We start from the raw sequence: 19028 nt of genomic DNA, 5'->3' as shown, positions 1-19028 counted from the left end.
TTTCCCATTTCACCCGGTTCAGGGACCAGGCTAGTCACTGCTTCTTCCTCTGTAGACCTGCTTTGTTCTCAGCTTCTTCTTCAGCCAGTCTTCCTTGTACATGGCTCAGTGTTGTTTGCCACCTTGGACTTACTCAGTTTTTGTTAAAATTCACATATTTCCAGAACAGGAATCTGAAAGAGCTGTTCTTTTTGAGCCTTAGGTGGGTCAGTGAACAACCTGTGGTTTGGTCTTTTTCTTCATCCCCTTCCAGGGGTCTGTATTTAGGTTTAGATAGTTAGTGAAAATGAAATGGCACTGGGTAATGACATTGATTCAATACATCTTGGCTAGGCACACTGGCTCACGCCTATAATCCCAGCACTTTGGGAGACTAAGGCAGGTGGATCACCTGAGGTCAGGGGTTTGAGACTAGCCTGGCCAACATGGTGAAACCCCATCTCTACTAATAATACAAAAAAACTAGCTGGGCATGGTAGTGCACACCTGTAATCTCAGCTACTCTGGAGGCTGAGGCAGGAGAATCGCTTGAACCCGGAAGGTGGAGGTTGCAGTGAGCCGAGATTGCACCATTGCACTCCAGCCTGGGCAGCAACAGTGAAACTCTGTCTCAAAAAAAAAAAAAAAAAATCTCATAGGCTTATACGAGGAATGGCAAATATTGGCCATTATTTATTATCAATTTAAAAATATTTCTAAGGCCTTTGGTGGTGGCAGCCTCTTTTCTTGATTCTCTCAACAGAATAGTGTACATTTGTGGTAGATTCATGCTTATTTTCTTATATTTCCTTACCAAAACTTGAAGTCAGGATATTACCCCTTCTTATTAAAACCTCTTTTACTAAGACTGGCAATTGAAATCCCATTGGATGCCATATTGGGCACTGTGGACCAATCTCCACCTCCTGTATGCCCCCTCTTTCTGATGTGGCCACGGTGAGGTCACTGTCTCCTGACCTGCCCTTACCCCACTCATGTCTGCCTTAGTGGATCTTCTTCCTCTCCTCATCTTCCTCTGCTGTTGCTCTGTGCCTCATCCTCCACTTCTTTTCTCTCTGTATACATCCTGTACAGTGTTTTGTACCTCTGTGACTTTAGAGACCCTTTCTATCCCCAAATCTCTGTCTCTGTCCTAGACCCCTTCTGCTGAGATGGAGTCTCTCATAACTACTGGCTTATCGAATATCACACTCAGAGATATCACCAACTCTCCTTTTCTTTCGAACATTCAGAATTTTTTGTACCTCAGTTTATTCTCTGCTATAATTATGTACTGTGCCTTATTCAATTTGTATTCCTGGTAGCACCTAGCGGAATTCCTTGCACAGTGGGTTTACTTAGTATTTGCCCACATGAATATTTTTATTTTTTAAAATGGGCTATTATCCTTTGTATGGGGTTTTATTTTGTTCCCCTACTATCCTGAAAAATACCCACAAACTTTTTTTCTAAATCTAAGAATAGTTTCTAACATGGTTTTTGTGGTCAGGGGGGAACAAAACCCCTTAATATTAATGGACATACATGTTAATAGCATTTCTAAATACATTTGGGCATGTGTATTAGGGCCTATATGTTTTCTCTGAGAATAAGGACACACAGCCTAGTGAGTTTTGGACTCGAATCCTATTATATGTGAATTTTCTTTCTTTCTTTCTTTCTTTTTTTTTTTTTAAGACAGAGTGTCACTCTGTCACCCAGGCTGGAGTGCCATGGCACAATCTCGGCTCACTGCAACCTCTACCTCCTGGGTTCAAGTGATTCTCCTGCCTCAGCCTCCTAAGTAGCCGGGACTACAGGTGCATGCCACCACACCTGTGAATTTAATTTCTATACTAAATATACTATTCCAAAAGAAAGAAATGTTTATTGGAAAATGCAACCAATTCAGAAATATGCTTTGTAGACAGTGAAAGTTTCAATTATTTTGTATAGACTAAATTAGATTATAGAGGTTCTTTGGCTGGGCACTATGGCTCATGCCTGTAATCTCAACACTTTGGGAGGCTGAGCTGGGTGGATTACTTGAGGTCAGGAGTTTGAGACCAGCCTGGCCAACATGGCAGAACCCTTCTCTATTAAAAATACAAAAATTAGCTGGGCGTGGTGGTGGGTGCCTGTAGTCCTGGCTACTTGGGAGGTTAAGGCAGGATAATTGCTTGAGTCCTGGAAGTGGAGTGTGCAGTGAGCCGAGACTGTGTCACTGCACCCCAGCATGGGCAACAGAGCAAGACACCATCTCAAAAAAAAAAAAAAAGAAAAGAAAAAAGAAGTAGTGGTTCTTTTTATGTACAAAATAAATTTGCTCATTGGGTTAGAGTATGGTTATTGATTAGGGGGCTAAGCATTTAGTTACTGCATGGGGCAGCCAATAATAAAATCACAGCCCTGTGTATTTACCTCCACAGTGTGTGCTGATAAGTGCAAAAGGTTTGTGCAAATTCTTTTGAAGTTATATTGTAACCATGGTATATGTATTGAAAACTTGGCCATTTTACCCCATTCCTATGAATGAAAACTATTTGGTGAATCAGAGGATAGTCTGAATTGGGATATGAAGGCCAGTATAAGTGTCAGTTAGCAAAGTCAGCTCTAGTTTATTATTTTTTTTTTTTTCTTTTAAGGCGTAGCATTACTAGAAGTATAGCTTTGGGAACCTTGTAGCATCTTAAAGACTTTTAAAGGGTTGACAGCTATTGGCAAATTGACTAATACAGAGAACTAAACTTTGGTTCATGTATTCAATGTCTAAATGAAAAATGGGAAGATAAAAGAGCTAAGAATGAAATGTGATTTCATGTGCTTCTCCTTTTTAGCTCTTATAATAGATTGAACAGATTTGATATTTGTGGTAAATACACTCAGGCAGAGTGACAGAGGCTTGGTTGTCATTTAGCCTTTAGGGCCTTAGTGGAGTTAATGAGAACTGCAAATGGTCATCAAGTCTTGGTGCTTCATGGAGAAGCAACACTTTTACAGTGAGTGTGTTAGCTTAGTGGTTATGGTATTACTGCAGGGACATGGATCACTTAGGGAGAGAGCGTTTCAGGCTTGGGTCAGTCTTAAAGCAGATCTCATGTGGAGGGTTTCTGCTAACCTGCATCTCTTACAACACAGTACTAGTCAGTATGCTGTAGTATTAATCAGTAGGTCAAGTTCAGTGAAGTAAAGGAGAATTGAATTCTTGAAGTTCACATTTAGGCAAAAATTTGGCGTTTTAGGAGGTGAGTATAAGACATGATCTTTATAGAAAACGCTGATGATAAAAACAGCGCTCTCTGTTAGGTGCTTTTATGCTTGACTCCATTGTCATCTTTTCTTAAGAAACTAAGCTCAGGACTGGGTGCAATGGCTCATGTCTGTAATCCCAGCACTTTGGGAGGCTGAGGCTATAGGATCAGTTGAGCTCAGGAGTTCAAGATCAGCCTGGGCAACATAGCTAGACCTCGTCTCTACTAAAAAACAAACAAACAAAAAACAAAAAAAAACCCCCAAAAAAACCAACAAACCAGCTTGGCATGGTGGTGCGTGCCTGTGGTCCCAGCTGCTCAAGAAGCTGAAGCGGGAGGATAGCTTGAGCCCAGGAGATCAAGGCTGCACTTAGCTATGATCGCACCATCGCACTCTAGCCTGGGTAACAGAATGAGACCCTGTCTCAAAAAAAAAAAAAAAAGAAACTTTAAGTTCAGATTCCTTTTTATAGCAGCTTTCAGCCTGCTATAGACAATACAGAAATGAGTGGATAAAGTTTTATTTAGATACTCTGATAGCTTAGCCAGTGACAATGACCTATCCAAATATGGAATGCTAAAATGTTTTCTTTTTGGAAGCAAAGCCCATGAAAAATTGGTTTGGAAGTAGCGTTAAAAACCTGGTGATTAAATGACAACAAGAACGTGAGAAGAGATTTTTCCAAAATCCATTTAGTGTGTTTGGACAGAAACAAAGGAAAGATAACTCTTTGTTAAATTGGTTAATAGAGGATTTGAACACTTTGTTTGCTGTAGACAAAACATCTTTATCTTAAAACTGTAATCTTTCTAACTTCCGTTGCATGCATTGCTGCATTTCCTTTTTTACATGTGCTCTCATTTATTTTCATGGCAAATGCATTTTTAGACAGAGTCTGTGGGATAATTATTGCCATTAATTAGTTTTGATATTTCTTTTTTAATGATATTTTCATTTATTCCCTTTTGCTAGCTGGATTGCCTTTTGCAATTCTTACTTCAAGGCATACCCCCTTCCAACGAGGAGTATTCTGTAATGATGAGTCCATCAAGTACCCTTACAAAGAAGACACCATACCTTATGCGTTATTAGGTGGAATAATCATTCCATTCAGTATTATCGTTGTAAGTTAAATCCACTTTTCCAAGTTTATAACTTTTGGGCACTTGGCTTAATTTTCTGTTACTCTTTTAATGCTTAAATGTGTAATCCTCCAAAAACAATGTATGCTTTTTAAACCTTTAATTGATGCTTTATTTGATCAAGAGAATCTCAGCTATTTTAAGTGGAGTCAAAAAATAACAATGTGTAATTGTAAGAGCCAGGCATGGTGACATGCCTGTAGTCCCAGCTACTCGAGAGGCTGAGGCTAGAGGATCGCTTGAGTCTCGGAGTTGGATACTATAATATGTGATGATCACATCTGTGAATAGCCATTATACTCCAGCCCAGACAACACTGCAACATCCCATCTTAAAAAAAAACAGAAAAAAAACACGAAAAGAACCTTGCTGGCTATGTATAGATTTTATGCTAATCTTTTCCATGTCACTGTGATTGTTAGAGCTCTAATTTTATTGTTTTAATAATCTTGTGATCAATAGTTGAATGTTATAGCAATATGATTCTAGCATACTTTATACATAGGATATCATTTTATAATTTATTGTATCTGTATGTATGTACCTACCGTTTTTGATTCTCCCTCTGTACTGAGTTCTAGAAAAGAAAAATTTTGCTAAGTGATGTTAAAACTTCAATGCACGCTTACTTTAAATAATTTTTAGATCATATCATACACAGGAGAGAAAAGCTATAGTTCTATATATGATTAGTAGTGAATATGAAAGAATTTTTACTGGTACTGAATGCAAGAGTGAGTCTTAAACTAAAATAGTAACTGTTGTTTTCCGGTATTTCAGGTGGAAATGCTTAAAGAATGTGTCTAGGGATAAGACTATTGACTGGACTACATGATTTTTATAATCTCTACTAAAATTCTGTAACTTAACAGTTTTGTGCTCCATAGCTTGTAATATTATGGTTCCAGCATGCTTCCACTGCATGGCTCTGCTGACCATAACTTGTGACTTTATAAACAAGATTTATGTTAGTTAAAAGTAGAAGGCTGGGTGCAATGACTCATGCCTGTAATCCCAGCACTTTGGGAGGCCGAGGCAGGCAGATCACCTGAGATCAGGAGTTCGAGACCAGCCTGGCCAACCTGGTGAAACCCCGTCTCTACTAAAAATACAAAAATTAGCTGGGTGTGGTGGCACACACCTGTAATCCCAGCTACTCAGGATGCTGAGGCAGGAGAATCGCTTGAACCTAGGAGGCAGAGGTTGCAGTGAGCCGAGATTGCACCACTGTACTCCAGCCTGGTTGACACAATGAGACTCCGTCTGGAAAAAAAAAAAAAAAACAACAAACAAACAAAAAAACCAGAAAATATGGTGGATGTGGTGGCTCACGCCTGTAATCCCAGCATTTGGGAGGCCAAGTCAGGAGGATCACTTGAGCCCTGAAGTATTGAGACCAACCTGGGTAGCATAGCAAGACCCCTGCCTATATCCATCCCCCTCCTCGCAAAAAAAAAGGCCAGGTATGGTGGGCAGGAGCCTCTGGTCCCAGCTACTCAGAAGGCTGAAGCAGGAGGATCCTTTCAGCTCAGGAAGTTGAGCCTGCAGTGAGCCATGATTGCACCACGGCATTCCAGCTTGGGCAACAGAGTGAGACCCTCTTTCAAACACACAGACACACACACACAGATTTTTTTTTTTAATTAAAAAATATATATAGTTGTATCCAGGAGATAGGCCAAAGATGACAGCATGTATATCATGTCTGTTTTTGGAGTTTATTTTAAAAAAAGAAAAGCTTCTTAATTTAGAAATGTCTTAAGAATGATCGTAATACCTTATTAGCATTGAAAGTTAACTTGTAATTTGTGGTGCATAATTAATAAAAGAAAACCTTTGTATATAGATATTTGTTTTATAAGACTGTGAGCTCCTTGAAGGCAGAGATGATATCTTGTTCATCCTTGTGTCCACTGCCTGGCATGGAGCCCAGCATGTCCTAGGTGCCTGAATGAAACTGTATGAAGGAAACTATAGAGTAATTACGCAGTAATGTTGGTGACTCTCCCAAAGTACGGGGAAGTTTTAGGAAATCAGGTATTCTTTTAATCTAAACAAATCTTTACACTGAATTTTTTCTGCTAGAAGAAAGCCAAGTCTATAATTCTTCCATTAAGGAGGGAGTAGGGTCTTTTTTTAAAAAGTATGTATGTTTCTGAGTGATTGCTAAGCAATTAAATATAACATTTTTAGTAGGACTTTTAGTTGCAAATAGCCAATTTCAGACAGGATTCAAATATTCAAATAAACAGTGCTAGAAATAGACCTGTCTTTCAATTCTGCCTTGTTTTTTGGTGTCAGTAAAAAGGATGCCATGCTAGCAGAACTACAGGAATTTGCTCTAGCCTGGAGGGCTGCAGTAGAGCAGGACACTGATTGCTGGGCACTGTGTTGATGTGCACGGCCTACACAGGGCCTGACAAAATGCTTAGTTAGCAAAAACTCATGAATTATATTTCATTAACTTGAAATTCTTTTCTATTTCTTTTCTTCTTCTTCTTCTTCCTCTTCCTCTTCTTCTTCCTCTTCCTCTTCTTCCTCTTCCTCCTCTTCCTCTTCTCTCTCTCTTTCTCTTTTTCTCTCTCTTTCTGTCTTTATCTCTCTCTTTCTGTCTCTCTCTCTCTTTCTTTCTTTCTCTCTCTCTGTCTCTTTCTTTCCTTTGTTTCTTTTCTTTCTTTCTTCTTTCACAGTCTCCCTGTGTTGCCCAGGCTGGAGTGCACTGGCGCGATCTCAGCTCACTGCAAACTCCGACTCCTGGGTTCAAGCGATTCTCTTGCCTCAGCCTCCCACATAGCTGGGATTACAGGTGCCTGTCACCACATCAGCTAATTTTTGTATTTTTAGTAAAGATGGGGTTTCACTATGTTGGCCAGGATGGTCTTGAGCTCCTTACCTCGTGATCCACCTGCCTCAGCCTCCCAAAGTGCTGGGATTATAGGTGTGAGCCACTGCGCCCGGCCTATACTCTACTGTCTCAACATAACCTGTGAGAAAGTTATCTTTACATTTAATAAAATGGCAAGCAAATTAATAGATGAATGCAGACTGCTTTAAAAAGAACAGATTGTTTAAAGGTATTGTTTTCATCTCTACAGTATCACTGAAAACAAACACTGCTTAGGGCAGTGGTTTTATGTATGTATGTTTTGATTAATTGATTGACAGAGTCTTTCTCTGTCACCCAGGCTTGGAGTGCAGTGGTGTGATCAGAGCTCACTGCAGCCTCAACCTCCTGGGTTTAAGTGATTCTCCTGCTTCAGCCACCTGAGGAGCTGGGACCACAGGTGTGCACCACCACATCTGGCTAATTACATTTTTTTTTAAAGAGATAACTATCTCTCTGTGTTGTGCAGGCTTGTGTCTCAAACTCCTGGGCTCAAGCAGCCCTCCTGCCTCAACATCCCAAAGTGCTGGGATTATAGGTGTAAGCCACCATGCTCAGCCTTATGTGCTCATTTAAAATAATTCAATTTTATTCATTAACTCAGCCTCTTTCAGGCAATGCTCGGTTAGACTTGTATACATTTAACTTTATTTACTAGAAAGTAAATCATTTATTTAAAAAAATCCCTGTGATTAAGACTGCATACCAGGGCCTTGACATGAGTTGCAAATGATTGATTAATAAATGAGTGATTGAGGGAGCTGGCAGGTAGAGAACCAGCATTATTATAGTTTCTGAGAAGACATGAGATAATTTCAATGAGGAGGAAATGGTCAGTGAAGTCAAATACACTGAGAAGTTAAAGTAAGTGAGAGTTGATAAAAATCTGTTTGATCTGGCTGAGTGCAGTGGCTCACACCTGTAATCCCAGCACTTTGGGAGGCCAAGGCGGGTGGATCACAAAGTCAGGAGTTCGAGACCACCCTGGTCAAGACGGTGAAACTCCTTCTCTACTAAAAATACAAAATTTAGCTGGGTGCGGTGGTGGGTGCCTGTAATCCTGGCTACACAGGAGGCTGAAGCAGGAGAATCACTTGAACCTGGGAGGCGGAGGTTGCAGTGAGCCGAGATCACGCCGCTGCACTCTAGCCTGGGCGACAGAGCAAGACTCCGTCTCAAAAAAAAAAAAAAAAATCTGATCTGATGAAACAATTTTGACTTTTGAGAAAAAAATCAGTAGAATAAAGGAAATGGAAGTGGTTAGAGATATTTAGGAGGGAGAAGAAGATGCGGAGATGTGTCATTGATTTTAGACAATTCTTTTGGGAAGGTGGGCCCTGAATGAAAGACACAAAATCATAGGGACAGTGTAGAAACATATAAAATGATCTTGGTTGATGGAGATTTAAAGGGGATGATAAGAGAATACTGTGGGAGATAGGCTTAAAAAGGTTGAATCACTCTGATTTAGATAATTATTAGCTTTGAACTTCATAAGTATTGTTTTACTTCTCCAAACATTTTTATTTCTTTGATAATTTATCATATCCCAGAATCTAAGTAAATAATGCATTATAAATAGTCTCAGTTTAAGGATTAGGCCACACTTGGCTTAGGTGTAAACTTCATGAAAGGTTAAGAATTGGCATAAATGGCTCAAAGGTTAGGGTAAGGAATTAAAATGAAACAAAAGAATATGGTTATCTTGTGTGGATCAAATGGGCAGACACATCTCTGCATTTAATTCAGAAGAATTGATTTAGAACTTCTTTATTGTCTGCTTCTCTCAGCGATGTGAGTTGACCTAGCATTTGCTGGCTTTAGAGACTCCCCTGCATTCCCATTATTAATGGTTAAGTTTCAGCTTACACTACTTCTGAAGATCAGCTTTTAATCTGTGCCCAGTATTCTGAATATTCCTAGCAAACTCATTTTCTGTCATCACTGGCAAGAGCCAGGATTTGGGTGGCCATAAACTATGATGATTATGACTGGGAAGACTCACAAAACATACTACCTGTTTCTGGAAAATAGTTCAGTGCCTAAGAACAGCTCATACCTGAGATGTGGAAGTTTCAACTGCTGAAACTGTGGTTGATTAATATACTTGATATGTTTTCAAGAATCAAAGATTAATTCCAAAATGAAATGTTAGATAAGTTCTTTCTGGCTGCTGATCTGTGAGGAATTACTGGGACCCCTTAATGGCCTAAGGAGGCAATGTGTACTGAAATGGAAAGGGTTCCTCTGTTGGCAGTCAGGGATAACCCTAAGCAAAACTGTAAAGGAATGACATTCTTGGAAGTACATATAGTTTACCTCTCCTGTGACCTGTTCTCAGAAAAGAATCTGACTAATTCATTCATGTTAAGGACTATAATTAGAACTGTATTTTTATGGGGCTTAACATGTATAAACTAAGGGCATTTGCTGTTTACCCAAGGCAGCACCTTTCACTAAAATTTATTGACCACCTACTTTGTTTAGGTCACTCTGGTGATATGAGGTTTTCTGTTCAACAATTAAGAAATCCTCCTTACCTTGTAGAGTTCATAGTCTCATTGTCAAAGTTAAAACATTCTAATTATGGAACTCTAGGAGCCATTGAGCCAGGTAAGGAAAGGATTTTAGGTATCAGATTCTTGAAATCCCTTTCGGGAAGCAACCATTTATTTTACTTATGGTAAGACTTACTCTGAAGACAGTTGATCCTCATTAAATGGAAATGTTTGAATGCTTTATAAAATAGTTTATATAAATTTAAGGTGAAGCAGAGAAGCTAGTAATGTATCTCAAGTCAAGCTTTGCTACTTAATTCTCTCCACACAGATTAGCAAACCCACTGTTCAGGCTGCTCTGTGGTTAAGTGGTTTTTTTTTTTTTTTAATTTTTATTATTATTTTTTGAGATGGGGTCTCGCTGTGTCGCACCCAGGCTGGAGTGCAGTGGCGCCATCTCGGCTCACTGCAACCACCACTTCCTGGGTTCAATTGATTCTCCCGCCTCAGTTTCCCAAGTAGCTGGGGATTATAGGTGCCTACCACCACTCCTGGCTAATTTTTTGTATTTTTAGTAGAGATGGGGTTTCACCATATTGGCCAGGCTGGTCTCGAACTCCTGACCTCAAGAGATTCACCTGCCTCGGCCTCCCAAAGTGCTGGGATTACAGGAGTGAGCCACGGTGCCCGGCCTTAACTGTTTATTTTGGTTTCAGGTAGCTAGAGTCTTACTGTCTTTTTTAATAGCAAATGTTACTATTTATAATGTTGCCATTCAGTATTCTTTGAATTCTCAGGATATGGGTTTGTTAACTTATAAAGCATTGGAAACCTTTTTATACTTTTAAATTAGTGACTAAAAATCCTGTCCCACCCCTTGGGACCCCAGCAGAGGTCACCTGGAAGGCTAAATCCCTGCCCTCTGTATCCTCTAGCAATCCTCCCTGAAATGATTTTACTCTTTTTAATATGATGGATGTCTTTGATTCAAAGGAATATTTGAGAAAAATGAAGCCTCTGTCAGATAAAAGTACTTATACACAGGAGTTTCTGATTGGGGAAGTAGGTATGTATGTATGTATTTATTTATTTATTGAGACGGAGTCTTGCTCTTGTTGCCCAGGCTGGAGTACAATGGCATGATCTCGGCTCACTGCAACCTCTGCCTCCCAGGTTCAAGTGATTCTCCTGCCTTAGCCTCCGAAGTAGCTGGGATTACAGGCACCCACCTTCATGCCTGACTGATTTTTTGTATTTTTAGTAGAGACAGGGTTTTACCATGTTGGCCAGGCTGGTCTCGAACTCCTGACCTTGGGTGATCCACCTCCCTCGGGCTCCCAAAGTGCTGGGATTACAGGCATGAGCCACCACACCCGGCTGGAAGTTTGTTTTTTGGACAAGCCATAGTTTTTGTCCTCCAGGATATATCACTGTCTACTTTTTAAAGCTCTGTTTATTTGAATACAAGAAAAAAAAAATAAGATCTTGTTATTTTAGGTAAGTGATGATATAATTTTGTCCCAGCCATGGCTTTGTAAGTAATGTCCACCATTGATATGACACCTGTTTTGTGGTTTAGAATTGGATATCCTAAGTTGACTCTCCATTGTAAAGAAAAAAGGGGCTGGGACTGTTTTTGAAACAAAGATATTTTTGCGATTTACCATTTCCTTTTTTCCCCCTATGTTTTGTTTTGTTTAAAGTGCCTGCTTGCTACTTTAACATGTTATTTTTCTGTTTCTTTTTCAGATTATTCTTGGAGAAACCCTGTCTGTTTACTGTAACCTTTTGCACTCAAATTCCTTTATCAGGAATAACTACATAGCCACTATTTACAAAGCCATTGGAACCTTTTTATTTGGTGCAGCTGCTAGTCAGTCCCTGACTGACATTGCCAAGTATTCAATAGGCAGACTGCGGCCTCACTTCTTGGATGTTTGTGATCCAGATTGGTCAAAAATCAACTGCAGCGATGGTTACATTGAATACTACATATGTCGAGGGAATGCAGAAAGAGTTAAGGAAGGCAGGTGAGTGTTAAATCGCTAATGCTTGTTTAATCTTGTATATTCTTGGAATAGAAGGTTTCAGTGACTGGAAGATAAGCCACGCACTTAAAAAGAGAAGTTAGTGTTATCACTGGGAGGTGAATTTTGATCTTGTATGAATTGTTCTCTCTCATCATGCCTTTTTCCTTTTTTATTGCTGTCTTCCATTTAAAAGTGTTTTATTGCAGCTCTTTTTTTCATCGCCAGCATGTAAGAATGTTAAATGAACCTTATAGATCATTTAGGCTAGAGTCAGCAAACTTTCTTAAGATGCCAGATAACATATATAATATATATAATTTTTTTTACATTTTTATATTATTATTTTGTAGAGACTAAGTCTCACTATGTTGCCTAGGCTGGTGTCAAACTCCTGGGCTCAAGTGATCCTTCCACCTTGGCCTCCCAAAGTGCTGGGGTAACAGGCATGAGCCACCACACCCAGCCAATAGTAAATATTTTAGGCTCTCTGGGCCATATAGTCTCTTTCACAACTATGGAACTGTGCTGTTAATAGCAAGAAAGCAGCCATAGACAATACTTAAATGAATAATGTGGCTATGTTCCAATAAACTTCACAAAAACAGCGCTGCCACAGGGGTCAAAGTTTGCCGAACCCTGATCTAGTCCCACCATTATTTATGAAGCTCTGCTAGATCTTAGTATTCTTAGTTTATTATTATTGTTTAGATTTTTTTTTATAAGGTAACTTGGTTCAGGTTGTGACAGCTCTAGGTCATCAGGTTGCTGTCTTATAACGCCCTTATTGGGCTCCTTTCTGCATGCTGGGACACCTTTAGACATGAATGAAACAGAATGTTTAGAACTCAGAAGATCCAACTTTTTAAATTGATAGATGAGGAAAAAATAGAGGACCAAGAACACTAAGTAAAGCCACTAATTAGTAGCAGAGCCAATTCCTCATTTCAAGTTTCAAAATTGTCAGCCTTATCTTTTTATATATCAAGTTTAATTTCCTTTAGTTGTTCAAAGTACAAATACTTTCTTGGGTAAAACATCCTTTGTTTGTTTGATTTTTTTAGATATGATTTCTAGATACTTCATTGTCTTTGTTGGTATTCTTGAAAGCAACGTGGGCCTGCTAATAGCTTCAATTTTTTTTTTCTTTTCCTTTTTTTCTTTTTTTTGAGATGGAGTCTTGCTCTGTTACCCAGGCTGGAGTGCAGTGGCATGATCTTGGCTCACTGCAGCCTCTGCCTCCCGGGTTCAAGCGATTCTCCTGCCTCAGCCTCCCGAGTAGCTGGGACTACAGGCACGTGCCACCATGCCCTACTAATTTTTGTATTTTTAGTAGAGACGGGGTTTTACCATGTTTTCCAGGCTGGTCTCAAACTCCTGACCTCAGGTGATCCGCCTGCCTCAGGTTCCCAGAGTGCTGGGATTATAGGCATGAGCCATGGCACCCGGCCAGTAGCTTCAATTTTTTGTATTTAGTGGGGATGAAAAAAATCTTATTTAACTAGAGTATATACTATGGTATTTGCTTGGGGTTTAGCAGTGAACAAGACATCTCTGGTCCCCATCTTCATGGACCTTAGTCTGGCAGGGAAGATTTACATTAAACAAAGGATGAGAATGGAAGAGAACTTGCTTGGTGATAATGAGGTCAAAGAAGAGAAAGATCAAGCTGTTAAATGGCAAACTTTGAGGTGGTGAGGAGGACTGATATGGGTGTAAAGTCTTAATGAAGGAGGGAAAAGTGACTGAAGAGGTAGACAGTTGAGAAATAGTTGGTAAAAGGTGATAGTGTTGATTTGAGCTCAGGTGAACAAGCATTTTTATAAGGGGCTAGAGGAAGAATGGTCCAGAAATGGCTTTGAGGAATGATGAAAACACCAACATCAATACTGGACTCTTAAGGTGTATGGGCTGTGTAGATCTCATTCCCTGCAAGGGCAAGCAGTATCCTAGGGAAAGCCTCTTTAATTGGATGGCTAGGAGGTACAGAGAGCCTTCAGGGAACAGTTTGGAGACACAGGGAAAGATAGAAGACTTTAACAGTAGAGCCAGAATTCCAGAGTGTTCAGTGGAGGAGTAGGAACAGAGGGGATGAACAAATGGCTTGGGTGGAGGAGAGGAAGCCTATTGAAAATGAGACTGAAATTTAAAACAAATTATAAAGAAGAACAAATAGCTGGGTAAAAACATACCATGTAAAACAAAATCTGATACAAGCTTATCCAACCTGTGGCCCACATGTGGCCCAGGATGGCTTTGAATGCGGCCCAACACAAATTCGTAAACTTTCTTAAAACATTATGATTTTTGTTTGTTTGTTTATTATCAGATATTGTTAGTGTATTTTATGTGTGGCCGAAGACAGTTCTTCTTCCAGTGTGGTGCGGGGAAGCCAAAAGATTGGACGCCCCGATTTAATAGAATAAAATTATCATGATTTCTTCTTCCATCTATAACTTAACCATATAACCTTTAAAAAATACCATACATATTTATGAATGCAATGATAAAACCAGCTATAGGAGTACGGCTGGCGTGGTGGCTCATGCCTGCAATCTCAGCACTTTGGGAGGCAGAGGCAGGCAGATCACTCGAGGTCAGGAGTTCAAGACCAGCCTGGCCAACATGGTGAAACCCTGTCTCTACTAAAAATACAAAAAGTAGCTGGGCATGGTGGCCGCACACCTGTAATCCCAGCTACTTGGGAGGCTGAGGCAGGAGAATCGCTTGAACCCCGGAGGCAGAGGTTGCAGTGAGCAGAGATTGCGCCACTGCACTCCAGCCTGTGTAACAGGATGAGACTCTGTCTCAAAAAAAAAAAAAACCACCTCCGCCCCACATAAAAAAACACTTATAGGATTTAAATCACAAAGGAAAAAAATAGAATAGATACTAGTCGAACTACTCTTTTAAATAGCTTTTTTGAGGTATAATTCACATGACATAAAATTTTGCCCATTTTAAGTGTACAATTGAATAAATTTGTAAAGTTATTTACCATTACAGTCAAGTTTTCAGATATTTGAAAAGCTTGTCCCTGAGTGTTTACAGTCAATTTACACTCCCATCTGCAACCGGAGGGTCAAGTTTCTGTGCCTATAGTTTTGTGTTTTCTAGAGTATTATATAAAAGGAATCCTACAGTGAGTACTTTGTTGTGTCTGCCTTCTTTCACTTAACATGTTAGTTTTGCAATTCATCCATGTTGTTCCTTTTTCTCCCCCTGAGGTATATTCGATTGTATGGATATAACACAGTTTACTTATCCATTCATGCAAATATTGATGGACATTTGAGTTGTCTCCAATTTTTGGCTATTAAAAATAAAGCTGTTCTGGCTGGGTATGGTGGCTCACACCTGTAATGTCCGAACTTTGGGAGGCCAAGGCTGGGTGGATCACTTGAGGTCAGGATTTCGAGACCAGCCTGGCCAACGTAGTGAAACCCCATCTCTACTAAAAATAACAGAAATTAGCGAGGTGTGGTGGTGCACACCTGTAATCCCAGCTACTTGGGAGGCTGAGAAACTGAGGCACAAGAATCACTTTGAACCCGTGTGGTGGAGGTTGCAGTTAGCCCAGATCATGCCAGCCTGGGTGACAGAACAAGACTGCTTCTTAAAAAAAAAAAAAAAAAAGATGTTCTGAACATTTGTGTACCAGTACAGTAATATATACTTTTATTTTTTCTTGAACAAATATCTAGGAGTAGAAGTGCTGGACTATATATAGCATGTGTGTATTTATTAATGGCCAGTTTTTGTTATTTTAGCCATTCTAAGGGTTTTTGTTATGGTATCTCAGTGTGGTTTTAATTTATATTTCCTTAATGACCAGTGTTGCTGAACATCTTTTCGTGTGTTTCTTGTCCATTCAGCTATTGTCATTTTTGAAATGTTAACTCTTTTACCCATTAAAAAAAAATTAGTTGCTTGTCTGAGTTGTAAGAGTTCTTTATATATTCTGAATAAAAGTCCTTTGTTAGATATATGTTTTGAAAATATTTTCTCTCAATCTGTGGCTTGCTATGTATTTTCTTATTTATTTATTTATTTATTTATTTATTTATTTATTTATTTATTTATTTATTTATGGGACAGGGTCTTGCTTTGTTGTCCAGGCTGTTTTTGAACTCCTGTGTTCAAGCGATCCTCTTGCCTCGGCCTTCCAAAGTCAAAGTGCTGGGATTATAAACATGAGCCACCATGCCCAATCAACTTTTTCTTTTCTTTTTTTTTGAGACAGAGCCTCACTCTGTCGCCGAAGCTAGAGTGCTGTGGCACAATCTCGGCTCACTGCAACCTCATGCCTCAGCGTCTTGAGTAGCTGGGATTACAGGTGTGTGCCACCATGCCCAGCTAATTTTTGTATTTTTAGTAGAGATGAGTTTCACCATGTTGGCCAGGCTGGTCTTGAATTCCTGACCTCAAGTGATCTACTCGCCTCAGCCTCCCAAAGTGCTAGGGTTACACGCGTGAGCCACCGCTCCTGGCCCAACTTTTTATTTTCTTTTTCTTTTTTATCTTAATTTAAGTTCTAGGATACATGTGCAGAACATGCAGGTTTGTTACATAGGTATATATGTGCCATGGTGGTTTGCTGCACCTATCAACCCGTCATCTAGTTTTTAAGCCCCACATGCATTAGGTGTTTGTCCTAATGCTCTCCCCACGCCTTACCCCACACCCCCTGACAGGCCCCGGTGTGTGATGTTTCCCTCCCTCTGTCCATGTGTTCTCATTGTTCAACTCCCACTTAGGAATGAGAACATGTGCGTTTGGTTTTCTGTTCCTGTGTTAGTTTGCTGAGAATGATGGTTTCCAGCTTCATGCGTGTCCCTGCAAAAGACATGAACTCATTCTTTTTTATGGCTGCTTTCTTTTTCTTTTTCTTTTTTTTTTGAGATGGAGTCTCGCTGTATCCCCCAGGCTGGAGTGCAGTGGCACGATCTTGGCTCTCTGCAAGCTTCGCCTCCCGGGTTCACGCCATTCTCCTGCCTGAGCCTCTTGAGTAGCTGGATCTACAGGCACCCACCACCATACCCAGCTAATTTTTTGTATTTTTAGTAGAGATGGGGTTTCACCGTCTTAGCCAGGATGGTCTTGCTCTCCTTACCTCGTGATCCGCCCACCTTGGCCTCCCAAAGTGCTGGGATTATAGGTGTGAGCCACTGCGCCCAGCTGGCTGCTTTATTTTCTTAATGGTGGTTTTTCAAGCTTAAAAGTTTTAAATTTGATAGAATCTAATTTATCATTTTTTTCTTTTATGGTTTTTGCTTTCTGTGTCCTAAGAAATCTTTACTTGCCTCAACGTTCCAAAATTTTTCTTATTTTTTAAAATAAGTTTTATGATTTATTTGTTTAGTATTGTGATCCATTTGAATTATTTTTTTGTGTATAATGTGACAAAAAGGGTCAATATCTACTTTTTCTCCATTGAATATCTGGTTGTTCCAACATTATTTATTGACCGAAAAAAAACATTTTCACATTGAATTATGTTGGCACTTTTGTTGAAAATGAATTGACCACATAAATGTGGGTCTATTTCTGGACACTTAGTCTAGTTCATTGCTCTGTATGCCTCTCATGCGAATACCATACTGCAGCTTTGTAATAGTTTTAAAATGAGGTGTAATGGGAAGCTTTTAACTTTGTCCTTCTTTTTAAAGCTTGCTTTGTCTATTGTAAGTTCTTTATGTTTTCTTTGAAAGGGCAGAAATTTTATTGAGATTGCTTCAAATATATAGATCAATTTTTGAAGAATTGCCATGTTAGTATTGGGTCTTCCAATCCATGAATATGTTGTATCTCTCCATTAACTTAGGTTTTCTTTAGTTTCTCATGCCAGTGTTTTTTAGTTTTCAGGGTCTGGGTCTTGCATACGTTTTGTTAAGTATATTACTAACTTAATGCCATTGTGAGTTTTTTTTTTAATCAATTTCCAATTGTTTTGAGTGTGTAGAAGTAGAATTTGTTTTTATATTAATCATGTATCCTGCAATCTTGCTAATTTAATTTATTAGTTGGAGTGATTTTATAGATTCCTGAAGGTTTTTTGCTTTCCCATTCATGTTGTGTGTGAATAAAGAGAGCTGTACTTCTTTTCTCTTTTATATTGCCTTAGATTTCTTTTCCTTTCCTTACTACACTGGCTAAGACCTGCAATACCAGGTTGAATGAAGTGGTGAGAGCAGATTGCTTGTCTTCTTCCTGACCTTAGGAAAGAAGCACTCAGCCTTTCACAAATATGTCAACTGTGCATGGTTTTTTTTTTTGTAGATGCTTTTTGTTAGATTTTTATCATGAATGGGTATTGGATTTTGTGACATGCTTTTTCTGTGTTTGTTAAGATGGCTATATTGTTTTTCTTCTTTATTCTCTAATATAGTATATTATGTTAGTTTTTTGAATATCAAAGCAACTTTTTATCCCTGGGGTATATACTTAGTCATGGAGTATTATACTTTTTATATTAATTGGATTTGGTTTGCTAATATTTTATTAAGGATTTTTACATCTGTGTTTATGAGTTATTGGTCTGTAGTTTTCTTGTAAAGTTTTTGTCTAGCTTTAGTGTCAAAAGTTTGGTATTAAATGTTGAATTCATCAGTGAAGTCATTTGGGCCTAGAAGTTTCTTTGTGGGAAGGTTTTAAGTTTAATTTAATTTTTTAAAACTGAGACAGGGTCTCACTTTGTTACCTAGGCTGGAGTACAGTGGCGTGATCTTGGCTCACTGAAACCTTGACCTCCCGGCTCAAGTGATCTTCCCACCTTAGCTTCCCAAGTAGCTGAGACTACAGGTGTGCGCCACCACGCCTAGCTAATTTTTGTTGTTGTTGTAGTATTTTTTGTAGAGACAGGGTTTCACCTGTTGCACAGGCTGGTCTTGAACTCCTTGTCGCAACTGATCTGCCCACCTTGGTGCCCAAAGTGCTGGGACTGCAGGCATGAGCCACCACTCCTGGCCTATTTTTTAATGTTTTAAAAAATATTTATATTCATTCATTCATTTATTTAATTAATTAGAGATGGAGTCTTGTTCTGTTGTCCAGGCTGGAGTGCGGTGGCCCAGTCATAGCTTATGGTAGCCTTGAACTCCTGAGCTCAAGTGATCCTTCTGCCTGAGGCTCCTACTTAGCTGGGACTACAGGTGCATGCCTTCAGGCTCGAATAATCTTTGTGGGAAGGTTTTAAATATGATTTCAAGTTTTTAAATAGATATAGAACTATTCAGATTATCTGTGT

At 39.3% G+C, this 19028-nt stretch overlaps 1 protein-coding gene across 4 annotated transcripts in view; it reads left to right on the top strand.

The window, feature by feature from the left end:
• Nucleotides 1-19028, top strand: part of PLPP1 (phospholipid phosphatase 1) — a 110111-nt gene that overhangs the window by 55311 nt on the left and 35772 nt on the right. For 2 of the 4 annotated variants that reach the window (NR_103485.2, NM_003711.4), the window contains 2 exons: nucleotides 4204-4355; nucleotides 11505-11785. Coding sequence is in view for 3 of the 4 variants with exons in the window: in NM_003711.4 (NP_003702.2) it covers nucleotides 4204-4355; nucleotides 11505-11785 (433 nt within the window). In the remaining variant the exon portion in view is untranslated. The remainder of the gene's footprint in view (nucleotides 1-4203; nucleotides 4356-11504; nucleotides 11786-19028) is intronic. The other 2 variants (XM_006714724.4, NM_176895.3) reach the window with 1 other exon arrangement.

The sequence above is a fragment of the Homo sapiens genome, chromosome 5 (genome assembly GCF_000001405.40).
Source record: "Homo sapiens chromosome 5, GRCh38.p14 Primary Assembly".
NCBI lineage: Eukaryota > Metazoa > Chordata > Mammalia > Primates > Hominidae > Homo > Homo sapiens.
This window is presented reverse-complemented; position numbering and strand designations above follow the sequence as displayed.